We start from the raw sequence: 15,044 nt of genomic DNA on the forward strand, positions 1-15,044 counted from the left end.
TTGCATTTCTCTGATCAGTGATGTTGAGCACCTTTTCGTATGCCTGTTTGCCATTTGTACATCTTCTGAGATATGTCTATTCAAATCTTTTGCCCATTTTTTTAAATTGGATTATTAGATTTTTTCCTATAGAGTTATTTGAGCTCCTTATATAGTCTGGTGATGAATCCCTTGTCAGAGGGGTAGTTTGCAAATATTTTCTCCCATTCTGTGGGTTGTCTCTTCACTTTGTTGATTGTTTCCTTTGCTATGCGGAAGCTTTTTAACTTGATGTGATCCCATTTGTCCATTTTTGCTTTGGTTGCCTGTGCTTGTGGGGTATTGCTCAAGAAATTTTTCCCCAGACCAATGTCCTAGAGATTTTCCCCAGTGTTTCTTGTAACCGTTTCATGGTTTGAGGTCTTAGATTTAAGTCTTTAATCCACTTTTATTTGATTTTTGTATATGGCAAGAGGTAGGGTTCTAGTTTCAGTCTTCTGCATATGGATATCCAGTTTTGCAAGCACCATATATTGAAGAGACTATCTTTTCCCCAGTGAATGTTCTTGGTACCTTTGTTGAAAATGAATTTACTGTACATATGTAGATTTTTTTCTGGGTTTTCTATTCTGTTCCACTGGTCTATGTGTCTGTTTTTATGCAAGTACCACACTGTTTTGACTATTATAGCTCTGTAGCATAATTTAAAATCAGGTAATGTGATTCCTCCTGTTTTGTTCTGTTTGCTTAGGATGGCTCTGGTAGCAGTTAGGTCTTCTTAGTCTTCTCCAAACTTCAAGTTTCTCCTTTTTTGTTTTTTTGTGACCTTGACAGTTTTGAGGTATAATGCTCAGGTAATTTGTAGACTATCTTCAATTTGACTTTGTCTTATGTTTTTCTCATTATTAGACTGGGGTTGTGGGTTTTGTGGCAGAGTACTACACAGGTGTAGTGCCCTTATCACATGTAGGGATACATAATAGCAACATGACTTACTGATAATGTTAATCTCAATCACATGGTTAAAGTAATGTCTGTCAGGGTTTTCCATTATAAAATTACTATTTTTTCCCCCATGCTCTGGTTGTTGGAACTGAATGACTAAATCCAGCCCACACTCAAGGGGAGGGAAATTAAGCTGCCCACCTCTTGGAGGAGGGTAGTATGTTTATATATATTATTTGAAATTATTTGGTATGGAAAAAAGTTATGTATTCAACCATTTATGCACATTAGTGGATTATTTATATTACATGGATTTTTTATTCTTTGGGTTATAATCTAATATTATAATTTATTTTGCTGCTTAAAATTTCTAGCTGCTTTGGTCATTACAGGCTCTTTAAAGTTGATGCCTGTGTCCTTTTGACATACCCCTACTTTTTAAAAATTAGCACTTTCTTTCTCCTCCTCATGACTCCCCAAATTTGTATTCTTATACCGCTTATATTTATCTAGATCAGAGAAAATATATTTTTCCAGAGAGAAATTAGGCTAAATTAATAAAAGATGTTATATTAGTCCCAGTTTTGATATTTATAGGAAAAACAAGTCTTACATGAATAAAAAGCAATTATACATTTTACATATTACCTTCAGGGGAAACATACCCAAAGAATTCAAAATTCATCAAAAATACCTGTTAATATATTTGTGTTATTTTCATCCATCATATTCTGTAGAGATTAATGACATATTGTTCCCCTCTTATTGGAAAAAATCAGCTGGCTTAATTGTTAATTTTTTTGAAATTTCTTGGCAAGTCAGAGTAATTCATTTGGATTATCAAGAGAAATGTTCATAGTATAATGATCTGAATTCTGATTCTCACAAGTCATTAATCACTGAAAATGAACTGCATCCCACATCCACATTGGCAGTGAGAATAAATTTGCTTGTTTGTTATGATTATGGATTTGATTTCTCATCTCAGCACATATAGAACTGGATGCCCTTGTGGTACATCTCAAGGCTGATTTGAAAGCTTGAGAGACCATCAAGAATTGGATTTGGGGAAGAGGTGAGTATTTGCTATACTATATTTTACTCTATGTGTATAAATTCCTTGAACAGAAAAATTTTAATACAACATTTAAAAGACATATTCAGTCATCATCTTTAGCACAAATGAAGTTTTGGCAAATGTATGCAGATATTCCTACACAAAAATACTATTTCTTGCACAAGAAATAGTATTACCATTCACCAAAATGCACTATAAATCTGGTAGAGGGTTGTAACTTATAGACCTTCCATGTTGTTTTAAAGAAATATAGAATTAAGAACATTTACAGAAATCTGTTGTTTCTCACTTTACCAAGTGTAAATAGGGGTATGTGTCTGTATCTAGCATATGTACTTAGGAAATTGTTCTACTCATAACAAACCTATGGTCTTTTATCAGCGGTGTGATTTGCAAGTAGTAGAGAACAACACCTGGGAAGCTTGTCTTTCTGTGTTTTCTAATAAGCCTGTAATCATTTTGTTAAGCCCCTTGGGATGGCCTTGGTCTAAACTGCCTCTTGAGTAATCCCAAGTACTGACACAACTTTGCAAATAATAATCAAAGACACATGTAAATATGCCAACTAAATTTGGACCTATGTTTAATGCTTACTTATGTTATTTAGTGCACAGTGAAATATTTAAAGTGATGGCTAACATTTTGAAAACATCAAGTAATATCAAACATTAAGTATTATTTACCCAGATATAAGAAGGAGAAAATGGAAATTCAAGTGAGAGGAGCATCATGGTAAATCAGTCTGTGCCAAAATTATGAATGAAATGGAGCTGCATTCTTGATACTACCTTCAAAAATCCTCCAACTTTTCTAGAGCCAAGCTCTAGAAAAAGCTTATCCCTTTTTCTAGATTTAAGATTGGGTATTGGGCACAAGAAAGGAGTGTAGCTTTCAAGGTTGGTCTTTTCCATAGTTGAGAACTAGAAACTGAGCTAGAGAAATCATACATGGTATATACACATTTGATTGCAGTAACTAGGGCCTGACATAGATTTGATTACTTCTATTTTAATCTCAAGAGATGTCTATGTCCCCAAACTAGTTTACTCTACATCATAGCAGAGAAAATGGACAAAACACAGCTGTTTTGGTAAGTATATAACTCACTTGGTATGAACAGAATTGTGCAGATGTACTGCAGCGGTGTGTCAGTGTCTGCTTATCAGTTCTTGTTCTCTTTTCTGCCCTTCCTCACTCTGCTATGTGCCACATTGCAAGAAACCACATTTCCCAGACTGCCTTTCCCTCTGGCTTCTGTGTATGTCCAGCCAATGGCAGGCACAGGCGGAAAACGGGAGGGCTGGAGGAGAGGGGAGGGAAGAAGCCACGTTCCCCCCATTCACCATTCTTACTTCCTGAGGTGTCCTGCCAGAGGCTGCCTCTCTTCTGCATCCTCTTAGTGGCTCTAATCCCCCCAGACGGTCCAGACTCTCACCAGTTCCTTCTTCTGTTATCCCTCCAGCCTTATGGGTTATAGCAGCTTCTTGTTACTGCTAATTTCTGGATTGCCTCACTCACCCCTATTGCTTCCCAGCCATCACCCATGTGGCCAATTTTCTGTAAGATAATAAATTTCTTCTTTATCAAAAACCTGTGGTGTTTCTGCTCCCTGGCTGGACCTTGCAGACTACTAGCTATGTCAAGGGACAGGGAAAAGTATGAACAGTAGGGCCTGTTGATGTCCTGCCCAGATCCCCTTTTCTAGGCAGGTGCACCCAAACTCCAGCTGCTGTGAGTGCTGGCTGCTAATGGCCTTTGTATACACTCTTCCAGAGATTTACCTTTGCCCAGAGATGCCTGGGAAGCTATGATGTTTCCCCGGGGGTGGCCCATGCCCAATGACAGGCTGATTTGAGGACAAGCTGGCCCCTTGCAGCAAGGGTGAGCAAGTCTGTGGTGCCACTCAGGTTCCAGTGCTCCTGATGCTATGAGATAGAGACCAGACCTCAGCCAAGCTCATTTTTTGCTTGGCTTCTTCCCTTTCTCTGTCCTACTTCCTTGATTCCTTACAATTTTCTCCTGAAAGCTCACCCTCAGTAATTCCACTGCATGATAATCACCATTTCTGGCTCTGCCTCAAGGGAACCTGAACTAAGAGTATATTTTACAGAGGGAATGGAGAAAATCTGTTTAATCTGGTGAGATGGTGAAATGGAGGTTGTGAACAGAGCTTCAATGTAGTGATGATGAAACTAAAAAAACACAACAGCTGAACATTCTTGAGGAACGAACAGTTGTGGGAGGACTCAACATTTTGAAATTAAGGAGAAAAGTGGTGCCTTGCCAAAATTAAGGTCTGGAGAGGCTAGTTTTCATGGCAAAAGGATGATACTGTACTTCTGACCAGTGTAATATGGCATTCCAAGAGTTTTCAAGAGTATCAATACCTGTGGGGTAGTTAGAAATGCAAGTCTGTTTTAAGACTAGAAATATATATTCTGTGAGATAATTATATAAAGACAGTTTTTCTCAGGCTTGAGTCATGCACAATTCTTTATTTTGGAAAAAGGCTGGTGTGGGTAGTCTTGTACCAACGAGCAGGATTGTGATTCGGGGGAGTGAAACCAGCAGTGAGGGAAGGTCAACACAGATGTGTTACTGATTGGATCCCAACCATTGGGAACTATGCTTAATCCCGGGGGATTTTCTGGAGAACATTAGTAAATATGTTTCAGAACCACTCAACAAGGGCAAGGAGTGGGAGCATTTATTCATCCTCTCCAGGGCCCCCACGGATATTACCTCCTCTCTTTCTGGGTTGTGTGTGCATGTGTTGTGGGGGTGCTGAGAGGATTCCTGTGGTGCTCTCAATCTCTGCTTCAGAGCTCTTTGGGCAGTGGTGCAGCACCAAGGCAAAATGCCACTGACTGCCCCTGTAGCTGCCGGTTAAAACCTTCACAGAACTGACTGCTACAATGTGGCTGGAGTAAGAGGTGGACTAAGTAGGTTGAAGTCCTGCACAACAGGTGTCCTGTATGGACCCTACCTGTAGTTATATCCATGGGGTAGTGAAAAGACTGGATATGGAGTAAGGTCTGACTCTTTGCCACATAGACATTAACCTCTGTGACCTTGGGCAAGTCAGTCCTAACTTACTAGCGTGGAAATCGAAGCTAAGAGTGTTCAGGAACTGAACTCCGAGCATACATCTTTCAGGGTTATGATGACTTCATCAGACCCCTCCTTTTTGTCTCCAGACCCCAACTAAGTCCTTCTTAATTTAAAATGCACTATTTAATTATCTTTGGGGACTATGATCAATTTACAGAGGAGGTATCACTTTCTCTTCTGAGTTCCATCATTCCTAGCATTAACTCTAGTACACACCGTGATGTCGCATAATTGTATATACCTTTACTTCTGCTGTGTGGAGTTCAGATTGATTTTTTTTTATCTTTGTGCACACAAACACTAGCAAGCTGGCAATCTGTTGTACTAAGATTTGTGCCTATGAATACTTGATACAGAGAAAGAGGTCAAAGGAGAAAGAGATGGAGGAGATTGGGGGAACAACTGTAGCACTGCATTCCATATTCTTGTGAGCACTTAATCTTGTCAGCAGGAGCAAAGCAAATCCATGGCCCTATACTGTCTCTTAAAAAAAAAAAAAAAATTCCTACTCCTACATCCTTAGGCTGGCCTTTTTTCCATTTTGTGGATTCCTTCCCCTTTTGAATCTTTTCTTGAAGTTATTGAAATTCATTGCTTCCCAATTTTTAAATAGGATAAGAATATTGTTGGGCAGTGAGGAAGATTGGCAGGGATGGGGAGGGGTTTTCCTGACCCCAGATACCTTGAGGCTGGGCCTGGCCACACCATGGCTCCTCTCTCCATGTCACCTGCAACCTCCCCGGTCAAAAGGAAAGCTGAGAAGACGGGAAGGTGAGGAGAGGGCGGTAGGCTGTGAACGAATATTTGTGTACCTATTATAGAGCCAGACATTTTACTTCATCGATTGATGTGTGGATGAAATACATTATTTTTATCCACTGCCACCTTGAACCTCCATTTCACAAGGAAGGAAACAGTTTAAAGATTATCATATTATAAGTCATCTCACTTGTAAATTTTGGAGCTATAAGTCACAGCCAAGCCTGACTCCAGAGCCCATGCTCTCACTGCTTCCTGCTGAAACACCCACTGGGTTGACCCCAAGGCTCAGGTGTCACCACTGTCAAAGAAGCCTGCCACTCTGAATTGGGATTTTTTCCCCTACTTATCTGAATAGAAAGTTTGCTGTCCTACTAAGCAAGATATCAAGCTCCGGGCCAAAATTTATTTTCAGCTCTTCAGTAGAACAAACACCCTTATTTTCCCAGATGGGTGGGAAATGGTGCTTTTGTACCCACGTTAAGCATTTTATCAGAGGCTCTCACCCTGTGGAATTAAATTCAAGGGGGCTCAGCAAGTGTGTGCCAGGGGTGCATCCTCTTGCCTCTCTGCCCTTAGAAGAGCCTTAAGTTCAGAGCTGAGCCCTGGATATTCCATAAAAGTGCTGTGCATGCTGATTGAGACTTGCAGCTTTGGAGACAAGAACTTCAGCTATCAGAGAACCCTCAGATATGACCAAGATGGATCCTGTTCCATAGAATGGGAATTACAGTCTCTTATAGCTTAAACGTGTGTCCAGGATCCATGTCAGTATACTTTCTCAGAGCAACTACCCTATCATTGCATGTGATATATGTCTTAAAGGCGTCATTAAGCCAATTAGGATATGTTGCCTTCTGTATATTTTGTGCTAAATCCTCTTTATTAGAAAATAATCAGAATTTGAAGCTTGATTGATGTTTGGCCCAGTTTTAAGTATTATTTACCAAACTAGAGATAGCTACTCTAATCCATTTAGAATGTTAAGAGCAGACCTATATAAGCCTCATGGGAGAATAGAGTCGTGATGCTTGTTCAAAATTTTTGGAAAGCACCCCAGCTGGCAGCTGGCTTCTCTTGGTATTTTAAAAGGGCATATAATAAGCATAAATAGAAGTATATGTGGTAGTTTTCTTATGGTTGTTTGTTTGTTTTTAAACTAGAATGCTATACCTTGCGTTTTCTTTTATCTTGATTTTTCAAACATCTACCTGGCCCTTAAAGCTACCTCCTTCACAAGCCTGGTCTATTTGTGTGGTTTATATGTGCTGGATGTTTATTTGGGTAATCTAAGGTAGCAGAAGAGGAATATATTTAGTCATCTAACCTTTACAATAAGGAACATTTGAAATGTCAGCATTTTATTTCAGGAACAGGTGAGCTATTGCATTATAAGGCTTTTATTTATTTATTTACACCCTACATGTTTCTGAAATTTGAAACAGCTTAGAACAGCTTATGACAAACAGTAAAAAAAAAAAAAATGAAAAAAAAAGATGAAAGAGGAAAGAGTAAATATTCCAGCCGGAAAAGTCAACACAGTTGCTGTGATAAAGTATAATCCTGTGTCTAAGATTCTTGGAAACAGGGCAAAGTGAGAAACAAATTATAAAATCTTTAATATTCAGAAAGAAGGGAAGAAGTTCCTCTGGTTAAAAACAAGTACTAAGGTGGCCAGATACTGGGTCAGGTGCCAGAGGCAAAACTACATAGACATGAATGCTATTCTCATGAAGCTCACAGTATAGTAGGCATGATAAATATTAAATCTATCGATATATAACTAATTATGCTTAGCTTTTGTATCATTTATGGAAAAGTAAGAGTTCCTAAATTTGCTTAAATGTCTCTGGCTTAGAATCCTTCCTTGACTCCCCAGTCTAAGACCTGAAAGATTAAAAGGCATCACCCAGGTTCAGAGACCAAGAGAAGTGATGGGGTAGGCTGGAGAACCTGCAGACAACTGGTGTACCTTGGAAGAGAAGGGCCCAGAGGATGCTGGAAAGGGAGACAGTTACAGCTAGGTCAACCACATCCCAATGCACTGATTAAGCTTTACTTTATCAAAGAAAAAATGTGGATTTAGGTAAACAGCTTTTATTTCTCCAGAAATATTGGCTTTTATTTTGAAATTACTATGCTTACTAAATCGCACGCTTTAGGCCCTATTTTTTTTTCCAAATAAAATTTGGCAACCCTATGTCAGTTCACGAAAACCATTTTCTTTAGGAATTTAACTGGTCCATGAAATCCAAAAAGCTGTGAACATTGGTCCACTAAGACCCTCAATAAATATGGCTGGAGAGATAGGAGGATAGAAAAAGTTTAGAGGTGAAGCATGACTTAGTGACAGGATTTCTTCATGGGACTAAGTTAATGTCTTCTAAGCACAAAAATCATGGCTGTTGTGGACAGTTATCCAGATTGAACAGTGTACTAGGCTCATGGGGTAAATAGAAATTGCAATCCAGTCCTGGTTCCTCTCACCAAAGCATGTACCATGGTAGGAGGCAGGGTCTACCTGGAAGAAGGGGAACCTTTTGTCTTTATAGAAAGACACTGTGGCCAGTGACAGCACATATTCTTCCTGTGATCCAGCTTAATCCAAGGGTAGAGTTTAACGAATCTGTAGAAGTGGATATACGGTGTGCAACTAGGATCTCTGTGACATTTCTAACCAGGATTTTTTTAAAGTATAGACACATTCTTCACTATCCTCTAGTAGGGTGGTCTAAAGTCCCAGCTGTTGCTGATTAAAGATGGCTATGTAGGCTTTAGAAATTAAGCAGGCAAGTGGAGGACTGAGCAGCAGTGAGGGAAGAAGGGAACATCTGGATGTCCCAGCCCTTGAGGTTGGTACTTTATTATTTTACATAGGCAGGATGTAAGTTTACTAATAGAATCCTGATTAATCAAATCTGTAAGAGGGTGAGGTAGCCTAGGATAGTAGGGAGATTACTTCTTTTTTTTTTTTTTTTGAGATGGAGTCTCACTCTGTTGCCCAGGCTGGAGTGCAGTGGCACGTTCTTGGCTCACTGCAACCTCTGCCTCCTAGGTTCAAGCGATTCTCCTGCCTCAGCCTCCCAAGTAGCTGGGATCACAGGCACGCACCACCACAGCTGGCTAATTTTTGTATTTTTAGTAGAGACAAGGTTTCACCATGTTGGTCAGGCTGGCCTTGAACTCCTGACCTTGTGATCCGCCCGCCTCAGCCTCCCAAAGTGCTGGAATTACAGGCGTGAGCCATCGCACCCAGCCTGGGAGATTACTTATTAAAGAAAATATTGTCGGGCATGGTGGCTCACACCTATAATCCCAGCACCTTGGGAGGCTGAGGCAGGCAGATCACCTGAGGTCGGGAATTCGAGACCAGCCTCACCAACATGGAGAAACCCTGTCTGTACTAAAAATAAAAAATTAGTCAGGCGTGGTGGCACATGCCTGTAATCCCAGCTACTCAGGAGGCTGAGGCAGGAGAATCACTTGAACCAAGGAGGCTGAGGTTGCAGTGAGCTGAGATCATGCCACTGCACTCCAGCCTGGGTGACAGAGTGAGACTCCATCTCAAAAAAAAAAAAAAAAATTCAATATTAGCTTTGACTGTAGCCAATTTTGAATTTGGTCCTTATGGAGCAATATTTTTCTTCAGACCTCACTATAAAGCAGAATAGAATGGTTCTAGACAATAACTTTTCATGGAGGGTATAGCCAGTCATCATCAATGGCCATGGATAAAATCCTAACTAAAAATTCCACTTTGACAAACATGGTCTCCTAAATATGTCTACCAGGATGCATTAGCTGCAAAGTGCATCCATCCATGGGTTACAGGGTAAACTGACCTTCTCTATGGAGTTCTCTTATAATTCACCAGTTATATTGGAAACTATGCTGAAAACAATGCCTGCACTTAGCTAATGCTCAGTCTAATTCCTGGAAATAAAAAATCACCCAAATTATTTTCCTTTTCCCCCAACATCTTTTTCTTCGTATTATACTAATTCATGTTCATTGAGGAAAAATTAGAAAATGGAGAAGAAAAAAAAATCACAACTCTATCATGTAAAGAAACAATACTAACATTTTACTCATGCTGTCAAATATTTTCCTACCCACATATATTTTGCCTGTGTCTGTCTTTAAGCTATAAGTTGTGTTGATCCTGCTTCTTACAACCTACTTTAGATCAGCTTTACTTCCATCCTACACCATATGGAAGTGCATTCTCCAAGATTCCTGGAATTCCCCAGAGATTCATATTTATCTTTGTCTCTTTGTCAACATTGGTTATGACATCTCATTTCTTTCATTTTGTAGCTATTTCCTTTTCTCCACTTCGCAAATAGCTCCATTCTCCCCAAACACATACAATATCACTCACAAGGTAGCTCTAAGTTCTTTGGCCACTGACTACCTTGTTCCTATGCTCTTTCTCTGTTCCTTCTCTCTTCTCTCCTTCCCACATCCGAAATTCCTGTTTATTTCTTATTTATGGTACCTTAGGAACATGCCTTGATGAGATAGTTCAGAATATGAGGGCCTGGGTGGGAAAGAGGCAAAGACCCTAAAAGAAACCATAGTGATAGCTAGTAAAATACTTTTTTTTTTTTCTCACACCACATCATGTACTTGACTTAAAGAAGGAAAATAGAGTCATATGACTTTGGCATACAACTTCTCCATTGGTCAGGCTGAAGCTTTCTTGGAACCCCACTCTAATCTGAGACTCTTCCCACTTGATCTTCCTTCCTTCCTCGACTCTTTTCAAGTGTTAGAACTTTATTATGATCTTAAGCTTCTTCTTGCCTTCTTCAGCTCCTTCTCCTTGTCCTTCTTGAATATTCTACCAATAAATCTTCTGCAATAATTCTGTCTTGGCATCTGCTTCTCTGAAGAACCCAAAATAATACACACACACACATTTACCAAGTGACCATAAAGAGTCACAAAACCTGTTCTTGCAAAACTTGGTGATGTGCCAAGCTCGTTTCTTTTAGGTACTTGAAGTTCCTTTCATGACAAGTTTACTAGAGGCAGACACTAAAATATTCTAGTGCTAACTGCTCTTGCGGTTTCTATCATACTCCTATTAATGCAAGAGCAGATGTGCTTGTACATTTTTCCAACAATAAAATATTTTGAGTATCTCTTTTGCTAGTTAGCAAACCCGATACTGATGGAGTTAGTTCTCATTGAAGCACTTGCAGTAGCTGCTTCTAAAGCACAGATTTGTGGAGTGCTTGCTCTGAATAGGATTCTTCAGATATCAACTAACCATCCCTGTGGAGCAGATTCGCCCCGTGCATGCATGTACATATCACATAGCCTATGCATATTTGAAATAAATTTCAGTATAATGTCGACTTTACCCATGACAGTAAACAACAGCATGTCATGACTGCATAATGGTCAATTGCATGAATATCCCACTTATTTTAATAAATTCTGCAAGATAGGTTATTTTGGGCTCCTAAGTTTTCACTGTTTCTGATTTAGCAAATCTGTATACTTTGCAGTGTCCAACTTTTCATAGACTATTTCCTAGAAGAATTATTGGCTTAAAAAGCATGGCCAATTTTAAGGTTTTTGATATTTGTTGCCAAGAAGTCAGCCAGGAAGTTTGTTCCAATTTACACTTGAACCATTTCTATATGAGTAGGCTTATTTCTTTTCCTTTTATTTTCTGCATGTGAAATTATGTGTAAAATGTACAGTCCAAAGAACAACAGAAAAAAACCTAACCCTTGAATCCTCCACCAAGGTTATGAAATAGAATTTATTAAGTTGGTGCAAAAGCAATTGCGGTTTTTGTCATGACTTTTAATGGCAAAGACCACGATTACTTTTGCACCAACCTAATAGAATCCTCCTGCATTTGCTGATTCTCATCATACTTCTTCATGCCTCCCCTCTTCACAGGTAAATCATCTAGAATTTAGGGTTATGCATTCCCTTGGTTTTCTTCATAGTTTTCATAGTTAAATGATAGAGTGTGTGTGTATATATAACTATTTGTAGTCCTAAATATTATATAGATTTTTTAAATGTGGGCGGCAAATACAAAGCTAGTTGTGTGAGGAGGGTATGGTCACCGCTGTTAGGTAAAGTTGTCTAGGACAAGATGAACTTGCAGTCTTCTGCATCCTGGGACTTTATAAGGGGGCTTTCTGGTATATTCAGAGGGAGAGACCATGAAGCTCACCACAGTCCATACATTTGCAAGGACTGTAATGCAAAGCAGGTACTAACCACGTGATCAGTGGGAGTGGCATGAATTACCCTGGGTTTCTTGCTGCTAAGCTTGTTCCAGCTCGCAGAAGTCAGTGATAACAGAACACTTTGGCAGAATGAATAAATGTCCACAGTTGATTTAGGCAGCAGGACCTGGAAGAAAGAATAAGGAATTTATTAGCAAATTGTCAAGATCACTAGATTCGTATCCGGGCCAGTCTCACCAGAACATTTCTCCAGGTGTTTAAAAAAAAAAAAAAAAAAAAAGACTGTGCCAAAGCAGTGGGGATCATGGTTCTAACAGGCAGAGGCATGTCCATTTAGACTCACTCCTCTCCAGTCTGGTCCAGATTCCAGCTAGCATTTTGGAATGTCTGTTCACCATCCTCCTAGGAATCCCTTGACTCCTCTTCTATTTTGAACTAATTTTCTGTATCACGTTGTCGTCTTTATTGGTTTATACTCTTATTTTGGTGGAGCACATTTTCCCATAGCTTCTTGAAAAGAGAGGATGGGTAATACATTTATTTTGTTTTTGAGATAGTGCATGTCTGAAAATGTCATTCTGCCCTCCCGTTTGGGAGTTTGACCATACTTGCAAGTTACAAGTAATTTTTCTTTAGAATTCTGGATGTGGTTGCGTTTTCTTTTTGCTGGCAAGTCATGCTGTTGCAAAGTCTGAAGCCACTATGATTCCTGGCCCTTTCTATTAGCTTTTTTCTCCTGGAAGTTGATGGACTCTTCTTTTTCCCTAGTTTTCTGAAATTTCAAAATGGAGTATCTTTGTGTGAATGCTTTCATCCACCACTTTTATTCAGTAAGCTTTTTTTCAGTAATAGCAATTCATTTATTATTCTGGAAAATTTTCTTAAATACTTTTGTTTTCTACCCTGTTTCCTGTTTTCTCTTTTTCTCTAGATTTTTTAGAGTTGTCACCTGATTTTAAAAATCTTTTTTGCTTATTTTCTGCCTCTGTGTCTATTTACTGTCTAGGAGACAGTCTCTACTTTATTTTCTAACCCTGTTAATGACTTCTGCTCTTATGTTCTCAATTCCAAGATGTCTTTTCTGTTAATTTCTTATGCCATTCTGTTCCTTTTTTATGAATGTAACTTTTTCTTATCTCTCTGAAGATGTTAGTTATAGTTTTATTTCATTTGTTTTTGTTGATTTTCACCCTCGCTTGCTTGCATATTTTTATTTACTCCAGGATGTCTTTTTGTAAGGGAGGTTGGTTTCATTTATTTCTGTCTTCTGTGACAGCTTTCCTCAGGGTATCTGGTAATCCCTCAATGTCTGCTTAACATTAAGAATGAGGGAAGCTTATTGGAGGCTCTAAGAGCTCGGACTGTGGGCCATGCCTCTCAGGCGGAAGTCACTGGAGGGTGATACAGGCTGGGTCTCTGTGTTCAGCATTAGATATCTGTTTGATAAATTAGTCTTAACCTCTACCTTAACTCTAATCTGTGCCTGGACCATCAATTCAGACATTATTATGCTTTGTTTCTCCATGGATTTCTCCAAAGAAAGGGGCAATTGTTCAGTAAAGTGGAGTGCAGGAGAGAATCTAGGGGGTTTAACTTCTTAAATCGTTTAAGAGTCTGACTCCATTTTTATCTTTGACTGCTGAGAGCTTTCATGCCCACCTCCTCTTTCCTCTTCTGCCTCATATTTGAGCAAGTTGGTAAGAAAGCTGGTGCTGCCCCCTGGACACAGCAGAAAGTTCAACCTATGTGGGGGAGTGGATTTTCCCTCATCCAACCGCCTATCTATGATAAAAACCAAGTCTACTTATTCTCATTCTTGCTTTCGAAACGTTCTCAAGCTCATTCCAGACTAGCCTGGGTGTTGTCCCACTATGTTTAGAAAGTTCCATGATGTAATACAATGTGTTCTCACCTCTTGGTGTGTACATGGCGTCATCAGTCAGGACGTCTCACCTATTAATTGGGAGGGGTTCATCCCACCTGCATTGGATGGCTGTAAGAAATAGCTTTCCTATGAGGTTTTCTTATCTTAGTCTTTTTCTTTTTTTTCCATTACCAGTTCCAAAGCAGTTCCTATGTCTTTTGAGTACTATATGGTACAAGTTGGTGGACTTTCACATTTTCCCATTAACTACAGATTCATTTTCTTGGGTTTACTAAGTCAGTTACTACTTGCCCATTTTTCTCTAGTTTCCAAATTTTTGCTGACTTTTTTGTTTGTTTGTTTGTTTGTTTTGACCTCACCTCTTTTTCTGCTTTATCCATTTCTTAAAAAACAAAAACAATCCTTCCCATAGTGGGGGGGTCTGTGGTTGGGGGGCAGTGAGGTGGGGATGGTTAATGGAATAGAAAGAATGAATAAGACCTACTATTTGGTAACACAACAGGGCGGCTATAGTCAATAACTTAATTGTACAATTTTAAGTAACTGAAAGAGTATAATTGGATTGTTTTTAACTCAAAGGATAATTGCTTGAGGGGATGGATACCCCTATTCTCCATGATGTGCTTATTTCACATGCATGCCTGTATCAAAACTTCTCATGTACCCCATAAATATATATACCTACTGTGTACCCATAAAAATTTAAAAAATTTGAAAAGAAAAATCCCTTCCCTAAATTTTTATTGAGTTAAGGAGATAAGAAACAAAATTATAAACATGTATTTAAGCTGCTGTCTTTACCCAGAAATCCTGAGTGGGCTCATCTCTTCACACCTTGTCAACAATGGGTGCTTTTCTCATTTATTTAGTAAATGGATTTCCCTGAAATCCGTACTATGTTCTAATTGCTTTGACAACTGAGATTATTCATATTATTGGATTCTGGTCTAAACTACTTGTTCATATAACTAAAAGCCTAAAGGACAATTTCATGATTTGTGGCAGATTCTCACATTTAGCCATTTGGTTTACCCTAAATTTGCTTCCATTTTTTAGTAGTGCTCTATTG

General features: G+C 39.1%; 1 protein-coding gene across 14 annotated transcripts in view; it reads left to right on the forward strand.

The window, feature by feature from the left end:
* Positions 1-15,044, forward strand: part of HHLA2 (HHLA2 member of B7 family) — an 81,738-nt gene that overhangs the window by 12,195 nt on the left and 54,499 nt on the right. For 9 of the 14 annotated variants that reach the window (XM_047447369.1, XM_011512362.3, XM_005247080.4 and 6 more), the window contains exon 2: positions 1,913-1,999. The exons of 4 other annotated variants lie outside the window; for them this stretch is intronic. The gene's annotated coding sequence lies outside the window, so the exon portion shown is untranslated. Of the gene's footprint in view, positions 1-1,912; positions 2,000-3,042; positions 3,093-15,044 lie in introns of those variants that run through there. One more of the 14 variants, NM_001282557.2, reaches the window with a different exon arrangement.

This window comes from Homo sapiens, chromosome 3 (genome assembly GCF_000001405.40).
Source record: "Homo sapiens chromosome 3, GRCh38.p14 Primary Assembly".
Classification (NCBI taxonomy): domain Eukaryota; kingdom Metazoa; phylum Chordata; class Mammalia; order Primates; family Hominidae; genus Homo; species Homo sapiens.